This window comes from Homo sapiens, chromosome 11, assembly GCF_000001405.40.
Source record: "Homo sapiens chromosome 11, GRCh38.p14 Primary Assembly".
NCBI classification, from domain to species: Eukaryota; Metazoa; Chordata; class Mammalia; order Primates; family Hominidae; genus Homo; species Homo sapiens.
Window position 1 is genome coordinate 74,766,570 of NC_000011.10, and position 15,959 is coordinate 74,782,528.

Here is a 15,959-nt window from a genome sequence, read left to right on the forward strand (position 1 = left end):
GCTAAGATGATATGATGCCTGGGATTTGCTTCAAAATAACTTCAAATTTGTTCCAGGAGATAGGGAGCAGGTATTGATTAGGGGAGGATAGAAAATAAGATTGCTAATGATTGATTGCTGAAGCTGGATGATCTGTGGTAGTTCATTATACTGGTTTCTCTAATAATATATTTGAAACTTTTCCATAAAAAAAGCAAGAAGAAATTCTGTCCATTGAAGAAGTACCAGGCACAGATGGTTTTATGGGTTACCCAAATATTGAAGGATGGATGGTTCCAGGGAATAAATAAAACGTTTCCAGACTTGTTTTGGGGGCTTTTACAACTTGATAACAAAATCACACAAGTTAACAAAATCACACAAGAACTGTATGAGAAAGGAAAAGTACAGGCCACTCTCATGAACACAGATTTTTATTTTTTGTCTTTTTATTTCTTTTTTTCTATTTTTTGTGGAGATGGGGATCTCACTGTATTGCCCAGGCTGGTCTTAACTTCTGACCTCAAGCAATTCTCCTGCCTCTGCTTCCCAAAGTGCTGGGATTACAGGCATGAATCACCACACCTGGCATGAACACAGATTTTTAAAATCTCAGGTGAAACACAGACTGAATCGAGTAGTATATTTTTAAAAAATCACAACCAAGTAGCAGTTATTCAAAGAATAGGAGTTTGGCTTAACATTAGGAATCTAATGTAGTTCCCCATATTAATAAACTAAAGGAGAGTAAAACTATATGGTCATTGCAATAGATGGCTTAAAAAAGCATTTGACAAAATTTATCATTTATTATTTAAAAAAAACTAGAACATGTGGAATAGGAGAAAGTTTCTTTTTTTATTTTTATTTTTTTTGAGACAGAGTCTCACTCTGTCACCCAGACTGGAGTTCGGTGGCGTGATTTTGGCTCACTGCAACCTCCACCTGCCAGGTTCAAGCCTCCCGAGTAGCTGGGACTACAGGCACGGGCCACCACGTCTGGATAATTCTTTTTTATTTTTATTTTTATTTATTTTTTGAGATGGAGTCTCGCTCTGTCGCCCAGGCTGGAGTGCAGTGGCGCGATCTTGGCTCACTGCAACCTCCGCCTCCTGGGTTCACGCCATTCTCCTGCCTCAGCCTCCCGAATAGCTTGGACTACAGGTGCCCGCCACCATACTTGGCTAATTTTTTGTATTTTTTTTTTTTTAGTAGAGACGGGGTTTCACCGTGTTAGCCAGGATGGTCTCAATCTCCTGACCTCGTGATCCGCCCACTTCGGCCTCCCCATTCTTTTTTATTTTTTAAAAATAGAGATGGGGTTTCAGTATGTTGCCAGGGCAGGTCTTGAACTCCTGGCTTCAGGATATCCCCCTGCCTTGGCCTGTCCAAGGTCTTGAGATTACAGGTGTGAGCCACTGTGCCCAGCCACTGTCTTTGCTTTTTAAGTGGAATTTATCAATAAGGATGATTAGTGGCCAAGAATAGTCAAGACCATTTTGAAGAACACGATGGGTGGATTTGCTTTCTCAAATATCAAGCTGTTTAAAGCCATGTTAATTAAGACAGTGAAGTATTGGTATCAGGGTGGTTGAATAATTAATGTTAAAATTAAAGAGCATAGAAACATGCCCTCATATATTTAAATTTGGTGGATAATGAGTGGCCATTACAAATCACTAGGGTAAAGGTGTCATTTTTACTTTTCATGGGTGGTTAGCTAACCTTAGAGAAAAAAATAGATCTTTAGCACCATATGCAAAAAATTATTTGTAGAGCCAGGCATGGTGGCTCACGCCTGTAATCCCAGCACTTCAGGAGGCTGAGGTGGGCGGATCACTCAAGGTCAGGAGTTTGCGACCAGCCTGGCCAACATGGGGAAACCCCGTCTCTACTGAAAATACAAAAATTAGTCAGGCGTGATGGCGCATGCCTGTAGTCCCAGCTACTCAGGATGCTGAGACAGGAGATTCGCTTTAACCTGGGAAGCGGTGGCTGTAGTGAGCTGAGATCACGCCACTGCACTGCAGTCTGGGTGACAGAGCTAGACTCTGTCTTAAAAAAAAAAAAAAAAGGTTGTAAATGGATTAAAGGTCAAACTGTAAAACTTAGAAAATGCTAGGACTATCTCTATGAAAATGGAGTAGAGAAAGGCTTTCAAACAAACAAAAAATGTAAAGATTGATAATTTGACCACATTAAAGTTAAAAATTGGGCCAGGCGTGGTGGCTCATGCCTATAATCCCAGGACTTTGGGAGGTTGAGGTGAGAGGATTGCTTGAGGCCAGGAGTTCAACACCAGCCTGGGCAACATAGGGAGACCTTGTCTCTACAAAAAAATATAAAAATTTAGGCAGGCATGGTGGGGTGTGCCTGTAGACCCAGCTATTCAGGAGGCTGAGGTGGAAGAATACTTTGAGTCCAGGAGTTTCGGGCTGCAGTGAGTGCTCTAGCCTGGGTGACAGAAGCGAGACCCTGCCTCAAAAGAAACAAAACAAAACAAACACACCAGAAACAGAAAAAGAGATTAAGTAAGAAGACCAACCAGAGGCTGGGAGAAGATAGTTGCAGTGAAGTAACTGACAAAAGATTGATATCCAACATATATGAACTACAAATCATTATGATGACAGATAGCTTATTAGAAAAATGGTGAGAAGATTTGAATAGGCATTTCATAGAAGAAGGAAACTGAAAGTCTGGTAAACATCTAGAATGATACGCAACAGCATTAGCAATCAGGGAAATGCAAATTAAACCAGTGATATGCCATCAGACTGCTATAATTTGTAATTGATTAATTATAAATAATGAGCACCTATATACTGCTGGAGGAGTATAAGTTGCCATACAACCACGTTGGAGAGCAGTTTGGCCATATCTAGTAAGGTTGAAGAGATAGATTCCTTGCTATGCAGAGATTCCATTAATAGGTGTGTGCCATAGTGAAACTCTTGTGTACATATGCACACACACAATGATGCTCACATTACAGCACTGTAGTACTAGAAAATGTAGTAACAGTTGTCTTTGATAGGAGAAGGGATAAATTAGTTTCTACAGCTGTTAGAATGAATGAACTGGGTATATATCAACATGGATAAATCTGGAAAAAATACTTGCAAAAGGAAAAGTTGCAAAAGAATATGTATCCTTTGATGCCATTTATATAAGTAAAAGTACGGAAGATAGGAGTCATTTCAATAGCTTGAGTGAGAAATGAAGAAACAATCAGCCAATGTAGACTCTACTCTCCTTGTACCCCCCAACAAGGTCTCCCTCTGACATCCAGGCTGGAGTTCAGTGATGAAATCATGGCACATTACAGCCTCTACTTTTCAGGCTGAAGCGATCCTCCCACCTCCAAAGTAACTGGGACTACAGGCATGTGCCACCGTGCCCAACTAATTTTTTGTATTTTTAGTACTATACAGGGTCTCACCATGTTGCCCAGGTTGGTCTTGAACTCCTGGGTTCAAGCAATCCTCCTGCCTCAGTCTCTCAAAGTGCTGGGATTACAGGTGTGAGCCACCATACCTGGCTTTAGACTACTGTTTCACAGTTTGATAATGAAAGGAAGGAAATAGAGTGCATGAAAAAGGGAAAGTACAATTGTAAGAACCAAGAGCAGAACAGATTTTACTCAGAATTTGAGTTCAGGGTACTCTTGGAGAGCCCATTCCTGGGCCTTGGGCAGAACTTGAGAGTCTAAGCGATAGCCATCGTATTTCTTTTTTGATGTATACTGCAGGAACAGTAAGCTGCCAGTTTGCTTATAAATTGCCACTAGCTTTTCAAGGGGCTGGAAATATTTATCTCATCTTGGTAGAAAGCAGGTTATGGATATAAGAATTATAATTCATAGGAGAAGGTAGAGGCCAGGCTTAGTATTACTGAGGCCATTTGTTCATTTTAGCTGTAGATATGAAAGATATCCCCCAAACTGTTAAATTGTGGGGATACATGGTTACTGACATCTAAACATATCTACCAGTAGCTCGCTATTTTTTTCAAAATAATGGCTCGCAGTTCCTCCATGAATAATGTACATGAGTATGTTTATTTCCTGTGTTACACAGTACTTGGCATACGTTTAGCCTCTTGGCTAGTGTGTTTTCATTAGATAAATGACTAGGAAGAACAGAATTCTATAATAAATGAATTAAATCAGTATGTTTTCACCTTACAGTTGCAGGTTTCTCTTACCCATTGTTTCTTCCTGTTTTTGCACGTTACCACATGCATTTTTCGTTTTGTTTTGTTTTTGTTTTTTTTGAGATGGAGTCTTGCTCTGTTGCTTAGGCTGGAGTGCAGTGGCACGATCTCAGCTCACTACAACCTCTGCCTCCTGGGTTCAAGGGATTCTCCTGCCTCAGCCTCCCGAGTAGCTGGGATTACAGGCCAGTGCCCCCATGTCTGGCTAATTTTTTTTATTTTTAGTAGAGACAGGGTTTCACCGTGTTGGCCAGGCTGGTCCCGAACTCTTGACCTCAGGTGATCCCCCCCGCCTCGACCTCTCAAAGTGCTGGGATTACAGGCGTGAACCACCGTGCCTGGCCTCCATGTGCATTTTTGATACTTAGTCATACTAACATTAAGGTTACTGGTTGGGGAAATACTAGTTGTAGTAATTTTTTTTGCCATCACTTAAAGTAGATTTGGGCTAGTTTTATATAGTCTTGGACTTGGCTTGCTTTTGAGTCTTTGGCTCTGTCTACTACCGATTGAACATCCCTAATTGAAAATCTGAAATCGAAAATGTGCCAAAAATCTGAAACTATAAGTGCTGACATGACATGACAAGTGGAAAATTCTACATATAAGTACTTAACACAGACTTTGTTTTATGCACAAAACTATTTTAATTATTAACTGGTCGCTATTATGGCTTGTGCCTGTAATCCCAGCTACTCTGGAGGCTGAGGTGGGATGATCACTTGAGGCCAGGAGTTCAATACCAGCCTGGGCAATATAAGGAGACCCTTGTCTCTACAAAAGTAAAAAAATTAGCCAGGTATGTTGGTGCACACCTATAGTCCCAGCTACTCAGGAGGCTGAGGTGGGAGGATTGCTTGAGCCCAGGAGTTTGGGGCTGCAGAGAGCTATGATTGCATCACTAAACTCTAACCTGGGTGACAGGGCAAGACTTTGTCTCCAAAAAAAATAAAATATACAAAATTACCTCCAGGCTGTGTATATAAGGTATATATGGTACATAAATGGGCTGGGCATGGTGGCTCATGCCTATGATCCCAATACTTTGGGAGGCCGAGGTAGGAGGATTGCTTGAGGCCAGGGGTTCGAGACCAGCTTGGACAACATCAAGACCTTCTCTCTATAAAATAATTTAAAACAAAAAACATAAATCAATTTCGTATTTAGACTTGGTTTCCATCCTTAAGATAATTAATTATGTATATACAAATACTAAAAAATCCAAAGACAGTCCGAAACACTGATGGTCCCCAACATTTCAGATAAGGGATACTCATTCTGTATTCAGCATTGTGGAAAATGCTTTGATGTATAAACTAGTCTGGAAAATATAGAAAGTTTTAACTTTCTTGATGTAATTTGAATTAGTTCTATGAATGATTCCTTTGCCTGATCTAAGGGAAAAATTGGTCTTTTTTAAAAAAATCACTTTTATTTATGCAGGTCATGTATGTCAGGGAAGGGGAGTGAATTTGAAATCAGAAAATCTGGATTTGAATCTCAGTTCTGCCACCTTTGTCTCATTGACCGTGACAAAGCTGCTTAATTAACGTCCTTGAGAGGTTTCTGTTTTCTGGTCTGTAAAAAGTAAATACTACAACCACACAGGGTTATTATAAGGCTTAAATAAGAATATGTGTGGAAACCCCTAGCACAGTACTTGGCACTTAATCCTTCAGTAAATGTTAATTTACTACTAGGGATGCTGGTTTTTTTTTTTTTTTTTTTTTACTTTTATGTATTGAGCTGTGCTGGGCCCTATACTGTAAAGCTCTTTTTTACCCTGTGAGTTGCATAGCCAACTGCCTGGTTTAAATTCTGCTCCCTCAGTTACTTAGCTATTTTTGACCTTGAGTAGAGCGTTTAGCTTTTCTGAGCCTCAGCTTCCATATTTGTAAGTGGAGATAATAATGGTAACAGCCTCAAAGGATTGTTGTAAGGTTTAAATAGGATAATCAATATTGTTTCATAGTGATATTTAAACAGTAAAATCAGATTAATGGGATAAGATTAGCATTTTTTTAAAGGAATAGAATAGATACTAGCATAATGAACCATTTGTTTCAGTTTTACATGTGTTTGATCATGAACTGGGGAGTGATGTAAAATGTATTTCTTACTGTGGATTGTACTAAAAGTTCCAAAGCTATTGGCTAGGTACTAATAGTCCATAGTATGTCATCAATAAATGTTAGTGACAATAGAAATATTTAATCCGTAATGGAGATGTACTGTCAAAATAGATATATATTGGTTTAGGAATCCAGTCATACAAATATTTTATCACATTTGCTAGTGAAAAAGTACTTGTATTTTGTACTTTCTAAGAACTTAAACTGAGCTTTTGGTGACTAGGAGATTTGTCCTGAAATGCCGAGACCTGGGGTAGCATTTGGGGAGGATTACGATTTGCTGAGACCTGGGGTAGGATTGGCCTGGATTTCCATGGTGCTGCAATATCTGGCATATAGTAGGTTCATAAATATTTGTGCGATAAATGACTTTATTGTAGCCTCAATTCAGAATTTCTCAACTAGTCAATCTTTAACACCAATCTGATCAATTCATGGACTGAGATTTACTGTTCTGTTGCATTTCTTTCTCTAATACCTCTTTAAAGCCTCTTATATGTGTTTATCAGCTTAGATGACTTGATTATAGCATTTAGGATAATATAAAATAAGATGATAATTGTATAAGCTAAATACGAATGAAAGGAGGGAGAAAGATGGTCATTTGTGCAAATGTACCACCAGGCCAGTTTTCTTTTTGAGCTTGCCTGGATGTTTCACCTACTGAATCCCAGGCACAACAATATTCTTACATGTTTATTTTTCTGATGAGGTCAGAAGGGTTGTAAAATGCCTGCAGGATAGATGAAATTTTTCACTAAATACTTCAGTGTGAAAACATTTTGCATCATAAATAGTATTCTGGAAAGGAGACAGGATTGGAAGTTAGTGGATCTGAGTTTGCATACTGGTATTCTACTACTTAGTAGCTGTGTGGCTTTGGGCAAGCATCTTAAACTCTGTGCCTAAATTTCTTCTTTTTTAGTATGAGGATAATAGGAGCTATTTTGCAGAGTTGTGAGGATTAAATGAAATGATATGTGTAAACTGCTTATAGAAAGTAAATACCTAATAAATATTAGCTGTTATTATATGCAGTCATTCATTTTGTACCCCCTCATGGAGCACATACCACATATTTGTGCCAAGCACTCTGCCAGGTGCTAGGGATACAAAGATGAGTAAGACACAAACCTTTGTGAAATAATGTTAAGCTAAAGCTGTCCAGGTGCAGTCGCTCATGCCTGTAATCCCAGCACTTTGGGAGGCCGAGGCAGGCAGATCACTTGAGGCCAGGAGTTCGAGACCAGCCTGGCCAACATGGTGAAACCCTGTCTCTGCTAAAAACACACACACACAAATTAGCCAGGCATGGTGGCACATGCCTGTAATCCCGGCTGCTCAGGAGGCTGAGGCAGCAGGATCGCTTGAACCCAGGAGGTTGAGGCTGCAGTGAGCCGAGATGACACTACTGCAGTCCAGCCTGGATGACAGAGTGAGACCCTGTTTCAAAAAAAAAAAACCCAAAAAAACAAGAAACAAACAAAAAAAAACCTGAAGCTGAGCCAGTTTATCCCAGATTGATAACTTAAATAAGGCTAGTATTAGATATTTTAATTTTAAAGTTCCCTAGTTTTTAGGCTAAGTAAAGATTCTGTTTGTATATCAGATTCAACTTACCCATTGAACTCTTTTGTGCTTATATTGTATACCTACCCTGGGGTACCTTGGACGTCTTTCTTGGTGACTTTATTAAGAGCAGTTTTGGTAATGTGGTAGGACAAAGAAAAGGTCCTAATAGAGTGGGTTAAGGTGAGAATTAGAAATGAGAAAGCAAGGCCGGGTGTAGTGGCTCATGCCTGTAATCCTAGCACTTTGGGATGCCGAGGTGGGCGGATCACTTGAGGTCAGGAGTTTGAGACCATCCTGGCTAACATGATGAAACCCCGTCTCTACTAAAAAATACAAACAAAATTAGCCAGGCATGGTGGCACATGCCTGTAATCGTAGCTACTTGAGAGACTGAGGTGGGAGGATTGCTTGAATCTGGGAGGCAGAGGTTGCAGTGAGCCGACAGAGGGAGACTCCATCTCAAGACTGGGTGACAGAGACTGGACGACAGAGTGAGACTCCATCTCAAACAAAAAATAAATGAGAAAGCAGAAACAGTGAATATAACATTTAGACAATTCTTTGGAGGAATTTGCAGTAATGGGGGCAGATAAATGGGTCAGTACCTACAGCTGGGACAAGAGCCCAAGAATGTTTTCTTTTCAAGATAGATGATATCAAGTCATGTTTGTATTTTAGATTTGCATATTATCATAGTAGAGAGGAAGAAATTGATGGTGCTGGAGAGAATGGAGGAAATGGAATGAGCTAAGTCAATGAAGAGGTAAAGGAAGATGAGGTCTGAACACCTGTGGAGGTATTGATCTTATACATTAATAGGGATGTTTCTCCCATTCTGATTACTTTGTACTCCCTCCTCTCTATTTTTGGACAATTTTTCTTTTTCTTTTTTTTGTTCTAGTCAAAGAGGAATATTTTTGGACAATTTTAATTGTTTGAAAGTTTTCTTTTTTAGTGAATCAAAATCTGCTTCCCTAGTTTCAGTATTCAAGTATTTAGAGACCATGATTACTTGTAAGTTTTTAGATTAAACTTGTCATATTCATCTCTCTGTTCTGTTTTTTTTTTCCTTCCCCAAGATTCTGGTCATACCATACTACTCAGAGTTCTTGGAATATCGTAAGCTTTTTGAAGCCTTTCTGATATTCCTCACCAATGATTATTCTGCCTGGAATATTCTTCCCTCTTATCTACCTGGCAAATTTATACTCATCCTTCAAGACCCAAATGAAACATAAGTGCTCGGTAAAATGTTTTCTCACTCAAATGTGAGTTGATTATTCCTTCATTTTTGCCACCATTTGATCATGTGAATCCCTCATTTCACTGGATTAAAGTTATTTATTTATATGTCTGTCTCTGGCACTATACTGAGCTCTTTGAGGTCAGGGATTATGGCTTTATGTATTCAGCACTTAATATGTTATCTGGAATGTATTAGACGCTCAGTAAATACTTAATGAAGGAAAAATTCCTAAAAAGCTGGAAAGTTTTTCTTTATATGTCATGATTCCTTAACCATTCTAGTCATCTTTAAATATGCCACTCAGAAAACCTGATACTTTATAGCCTGACCAGAGCCAAGTATAATATGACTTACTGTCTTCCCATCTGAGCACTAAATTCTTATTAATGATGCCAAAAGTTGTATTGGCAGGCAAAACAAAAATTGCTCTTTTTTATTTTTTGCATGAACTTCCATTATGCCAGTCTTTTTCCTCACATGTATGTACAACTAAATTTTTAAGCCCAAAGACAACTGATGTTCAATTTTGGTGTTTATGGACTTATTTTCCCTTCCTTCTGTTTTGCCATTTCTCTTGTAATTTTCTAGTGTTTAGTTCTATAAAACTATTATAATGCAACCTCAAAAGATTGGACTCTATTAAAGTTGATGATAATGAGACTTTGACTTTAATAAATTCACCTTTGCCTTAATTATAAAGAAAAACTTTACAAAATTCAGCTACCTTCAGAAAACGAATTCTTTAAAAGACCATAGTGCAAAATGATGCTGTCATGAATCTCATTGGTTCATTCAGCCAAAAAAAAAAAAAAAAAAAAAAATTTAAGCCATTGTTTGACACTGAGACACATACCTAGAGATCATCCCTAACTTCAAGTTAGGAAGTCAGAGGCAAAGTAAAGTAATTATAACACAAGTAGTAAATGTTACTGCAATTGAGATAAGTGCAGAATGCCATGAGGGCCTACAGGAAGCTAATGTAATTCTCTCTGGGTTAGTGGGAAAACTGCAAAGGAGAGAGCAGTGAACAGGGTTTTGAAGTATGAATAGCAAATCATAGTGAAAGGGGAAGAAAATCATTCTGGGAGGAGGAAGTGGCATATATAAAGTCCTAGTGGAGGCAGGATATGGCATATCTAGGAATAGGGAGATGTGTAAGGGCTGGGGAGAAAAGGATTATTGAAGGAATAGTAGAAGATTGGCTGAAGTGGCAGATTGGGTCCTGTTTACAAATCTTGGAGGCAGTGGGAAGCCAATAAAAGTTATTAAGTGGAAGGGTGGTAGGGTCAGTTCTCTTCATAAAGAAAGGGAAGCAATGTTAAAGATAGATGGAAAGACAGAGTCTAAGAGACAGGGAGGCCAGTTACTTATCATTGAATGCCCACAATCTATACCAAGTAGGTATTGGAGGATTAGGTGAGATAAACAACTGTGTTGAGGTAAGTGCTACTCCCATTTTATGAATGAAGAAACAGGCTTAGCAAAGATAAATACTGGTAGGCACATAGTCACTAGGTGACTGCAGGTCTGTCTGGTTCCAAATCCTGCATTCTTTTTAATTCTGGTATCATTCTACCTTGTGGACTAACAGGAATAATTCTTTGCCTCAAGCAGGGCAAAACTTAATTCCAAAGGATTTTGTATCATGGTGGTGGTAGATGTGGTAGTGAGGACAACCACATGGGCTTGGTCTGCCTAGGATAAAAGGCCATAAGGTCCAAAGCCTTCATCTTAGCAGCATTCCCATGTCTGTGTTTGATTCTGTGACCTCCTTTATCATGTGCCTCTTGCTGCTTTGACTGTGCTGATCCAGTGCGGATTACCTAACAACAAAGCCTTGTTGTTGGGGCCATTTCTGGATTCAACAAGAAACCTTATTCACTTTGACTCTACTCTTATACCTGCTTTTGCAAATCCTGTTGGTCTCGGTTGTCTTAAATTTTTTTTTTTTTGAGACAGGGTCTTGCTCTTTTGCCCAGGTTGGAGTGCAGTGGCACAATCAAGGCTCACTGCAGCCTTGACCTTCCGCCTTAGCCTCCTGAGTAGCTGGGACTACAAATATGCACCACCATGCTTGGCCAATTTTTAATTTTTTGTGCAGATGGAGTCTCATTATGTTGTCTGGGCTGGTCTCAAACGGCTAGTCTAAGAGATCCTCCTGCCTTGGCCTCCCAAAGTGATGGGATTACAGGCAGGAGCTACCACGTCCAGCCTCAACTGTCTTAATTTGTCTTTCTCACTAATCCAGAGATTAGCAAACTACGGTCAGCAGGCCAGATGCAGCTTCATCTCATCTTGTGAAAGCATTGCCTCTCCTTCCCAGCCCTGTTCTCTTTCTCCTGTGGATTCTTAACTGCAGTGTGTGTTTGTAAGATTCATTTGGCAGTTGTTTATTCTGTGACATTGCATCTGTCATCGTCTCCCTAGTTATTTAAAACTATTTTTAAAGCTTTTTATGATTTAGTCTTAGCTAATAAACTGCATTATAAATGTTTTGGGGAAAGAGTTTTGTGCCTTTCTTTTTATATTTTCTCGTTCTGCAGTACCTCCCTTCTTCCTCATTGCTCATTCCCTCTTTAACCTACTAATCTCTGGTGACTGTTTCTATCATTCTTACACATTTACATATGATAACTTGATATGTTATCACGAATTTTTTTTCCATTTGTGAGTTCTACGATTATGTCACTGTTTCTTTTTCCAGTATGTTATTGCTGTTTCTGTGTTTAATGGTTTTTCTTGTTTGAGATTATAAGGTATACTTAATCTGGTGATGTTGTGCCAAACCCCATCAGCTCCAGTGGGGATGGCACCAGGTTCAAGAGGCCAAAGAAGAGACTTAGCCAGTAAACGAGACATGGAGTTTTCCTGGGGGCTTTACATACAGGGAGAGACTCCAGTGGTGGCGGGCTGGGCGGGAGAACTGCCGCCACTTTCAAAAGGCCTGCAATTTCTATAGTATTTTTACGTAGCAGCCTTTATCTAACAACCGCCACCTGGCACCCTTCATTCAACTCAAAAGTCAGGACCTCTATGTCCCATATGGCCCATGTTCCACTGGACAGGGGCTCAGGTGTTCCTCATAGACAAGGAATGAATTTCTGAGTTGGCCACTCCCAGATTCCCTAGCTTGGAACACACATTCAGATGTGTCCACCATATCGGTTATTCTCAGGGTATGCTGAAGTTATTGCTATCAGGTGCATTTACCATACAGGTGACTTGCATCTTTCACTAACTTAAGCAGTTTCCCATCTTATGAAAGCAATACTGCGTATTATTAAAAGTATACAATTTTAGTGACTGAATAATAGTACAAGTGTATGGTCTGTCCATAATCAGCCTAACCATTTTCTCAGTATTGGACAGTTAAATTATTCTTGATTTTTATTTTGCAGTTGTTAACAATGTTGCAATGAAAATATTTTTATGTAAAAGTTTTGCGATATTTCAGATAACTGTCTTAGATAGATTCCTAGAAATTAAATTACTAGATCAGATGTTACATAGCATTTCATAAGTTCTTGTGTGGGCTGTGGCATTTCTGTTTGATTAGTACTTTGCCAAAGAATAGTTTAAAAACACAGTAGTAGTAGTACTACTACTACCATAGTAGTAATCGGTGGTGTAAATTATGGAACCTAAGTGAGCAGCCTTAAAATTTGATACTAAATTTTATTAGCTCAGTTCAACTTTCTTTCTGTGTATTTCCTCTTGTTCCCAGGTAAACACTCTATATTGCCTGTTGTAAACTGTTACTTGTCTTAGGCAAGGGGGTAGGTGAAAATTGCATTTGTTTAAGACAGTCGGTACTTGGCTATCATCTATATTCTTGGAGAATCAGAAGGAGTAAACCAAAAAATAGTAGATAAAATGGGAAACACTTTAGTTTGGTTTTATTTTTATTTTATTTTATTTTTTGGGGGGGTTCAATTCTAGCTGATTTGATTTTCTTCTCAAAAAAAAGTTATTTACAATAGTTTGGTTTTAGAATACATTTGTGGTTCACTCCTGTATTTCTACCTTACTACTTTTAAATGGTGCATTTATTTTAAACATTAAAGTTTCTCCTTTCACTTACTTCATTTGACAGTGGTTGTTCAAGGTTTAGTGGATGGTATCAGCAGGTAAATTTGATTGGCTGCTTTTTTTTGGAGATGGGGTTTCCCTACTTTGCCTGGGGTTGGCCTCAAACTTGCAGTCCTCCCACTCTAGCCTTCTGAGTAGCTGGGACTACAGGCATGTGCTATTGTGCCCGGCTAAGCAGGTAAATATGAGATTAATATGGATAATTGCCTTGTTTCTTGTGTATCTTTGCACTTAACATATGTTTCATTGTAAAAGATGTGCTTTGTTTCATTGCCTGCCTTTCGCTGTTGTGCACCTCCACCTCTTGCAGTACTTAGGTATTTAGTTTTATAACTCTTTTGACATTCTATAGTTGTTTCACCCAAGTATGTTTTTCCTTTCTTTGTAAGATTGTAAACTTATTTAGGACTTGAATCACCCATGTTCTGCTTTTTATTATGTCCCTTTCTTGACTCTCAAAGAATGCTCTCTACTTTTGTTTTCTTCCTCGCTGTTCATTCCCTCTTTACTCTCTTAATCTATGGTGACTACATCTTCAAATCTCATCTATCCAGCATTACTGCCCACACACCCTATTCCAGTCTATCTGACACAACATAGTCACTTCTGCCTTTGCTTGTGAAGTTTCCTTTGCCAGAAATGGCTTTTTCCTCACTAGTACTTGTTCTTAATGCCTAACATAATTCACCTCCTCCAGGAAGCCTTGCCTTTAAGAATTCAGCCTCATTGATCCTTTTTCCTTTCCTCAGATTTACTTATGTATGCACGCTTGCCTTATGATGTGCATCATTTCATACTTTAAAAAATGGTTTTAATTTTTGGCTTGTAGTTTCATCATGAAAATCTTATCTTCTCCACTGCTTATGAAATATGTAGATTTTGCTTCTGGCTATGATGAAGCAGATTGTAGCAGACAAAAACTCCTGTTGAGAATAACTAGAAAAGCTTGATTTAAAAAAATCTATATGAAGGCATTGTAAGTTGCCAAGGCAGCCAGGATTTCAGACATTTGTGGATTCTTGGCAAAATGAGAGTGCAGCTATTAAGAGGCAAAAACGTCAGTGGTGCTTTCTTCATGAGACTGAGGATACAAAAATTGTAGTTCAGAGCTGCCAAGGCAACCAGAACCTGAGGGTCCAAGATCCCAAAGAGAAGAGATGTATAGCCTCTTGCCCTCTCCACCTACTTCCCCGCTACCTAGCTCCCAGGGTGTTTGCTGATTGTTAACTGTGCGGGGTAAAAGGCTAAGAACCCTCACAGAAAGCTACTGAAAAGCAAGGCAGACTCTAACAGTTCTCCAGTGTTGAGGAGAAAAAGTTCATGATCTTTCAAGGAAGATAGGCTCGGGAAACACTGATCTCAGTTGGATCCTTGGAGGGCTACAAACTAGGGGAGAATGAGCTGTAGAAGCTTTATACTGCAGCCGTCTTTGAGTCAGCTCATGTCATGTTTGGATTGTGAAGTGATCTGCCCCCTCATTCTAACTGCCTATCAGAGAAGATGGTGGATCCTCTGTAGGAATATAACATCACCCAGGGCCTTTATAGTTTTTCATACACAATGAATGACATTCTAACAAAAACTACAGATAAACCCAGAGACCAGAAGAGGAATAAAACCAGACAGTACAGAAATAGATCCATGTGTGTCCCCATCATCTAATTAGTTAATCAATCTTTATTTGAAGGACATTTAGGTTGTTCCCAGTCTTTAGTATGGCGAGTAATCAGCAGTGAACATTCTTGTATGTATATATTTGTACACATATATATCTTTAAGATAAAGCATAGCTTTGCTAACTCTGGTCTTATGAAACTTTTTGTTCTTTACCAACTTGATACAAAAGTGTTTTGTTCTTAGTTTTTATTTTTCTATACTATGAACTGCCTATGCATGTCCTTTATCCATTGTTGTATGGGGTTGTTAGGCTCATACATATATATAAGGCATAGTGGGTAAGTGCACAGGCAGACCCTGGATCTAGATTGCTTGTGTTAAATCATAGCTCTTTCACTTACAGCAGTGGTAGCCTTAGCAAATGAAACTCTGTGTACCTCAGTTTCCTCATCTGTAAAATGTGGATAACCATAGCACCTTCCCATAGAGTCATTATGAAGTTGAGTTAGTTAATATTCAGGGCATAGAAGTGGGCCTGGCATGCTACATAACTGCCAACCACTGTAATGATGCTACTGGTGGTGGTAGAGATGGAAATTAGCCTTTTATTATATGTGTGGCAAGTACTTTTTCCAAGTTCATCTTTTGGCTTTGTTTTATTATCTTACGCTTTGTACAAATTTAAACTGAGTTTTAAGGATGAGTTGTTTTTAGCTTCCTATGAAGCGGCTGGTGGAGAGTTAAGTGTGGAAAGTGAGGGCATTTCAGGCAGAGGCATAGAGGCAGAAATAGCATGGTTTAGGGCAAGAATCATAGTTGTTGATGGAATGTAAAATAGGCAGGGCATGAAGTGGTATGAAGATGAAGAGGTAGGCAGATCCACGTCATATAGATCGGGGTCCCCAACCCCTGGGCTGCGGACTGGTACCAGTCCATGGCCTATTAGGAACACGGCCACACAGCAAATGAGTGGCAGCATTAGATTCTCATAGGAGCATGAACCCTATTGTGAACTGTGCATGCAAGGGATCTAGGTAGGCTGTGCTGTCCTATGACAAGCTAATACCTGATGATCTGAGGTGGAACAGTTTCATCTCAACCATCTGCTC

At 39.2% G+C, this 15,959-nt stretch overlaps 1 protein-coding gene across 3 annotated transcripts in view, besides 1 other annotated feature; it reads left to right on the forward strand.

Moving 5' to 3' along the window:
* The window catches only part of RNF169 (ring finger protein 169), a 93,565-nt gene that overhangs the window by 17,721 nt on the left and 59,885 nt on the right, over positions 1 to 15,959 (forward strand). The window contains exon 1 of one of the 3 annotated variants that reach the window (XM_047426707.1): positions 8,366 to 8,694. The exons of the other annotated variants lie outside the window; for them this stretch is intronic. The gene's annotated coding sequence lies outside the window, so the exon portion shown is untranslated. Of the gene's footprint in view, positions 1 to 8,365; positions 8,695 to 15,959 lie in introns of those variants that run through there. 3 annotated transcript variants of the gene reach the window in all.
* Positions 1,849 to 1,938: a silencer, noted in NCBI's record as "silent region_3758". NCBI's record gives its function as "represses an Ori minimal core promoter by ATAC-STARR-seq in GM12878 lymphoblastoid cells {active_cell/tissue: GM12878}" and the evidence as "EXISTENCE:reporter gene assay evidence [ECO:0000049][PMID:35858748]".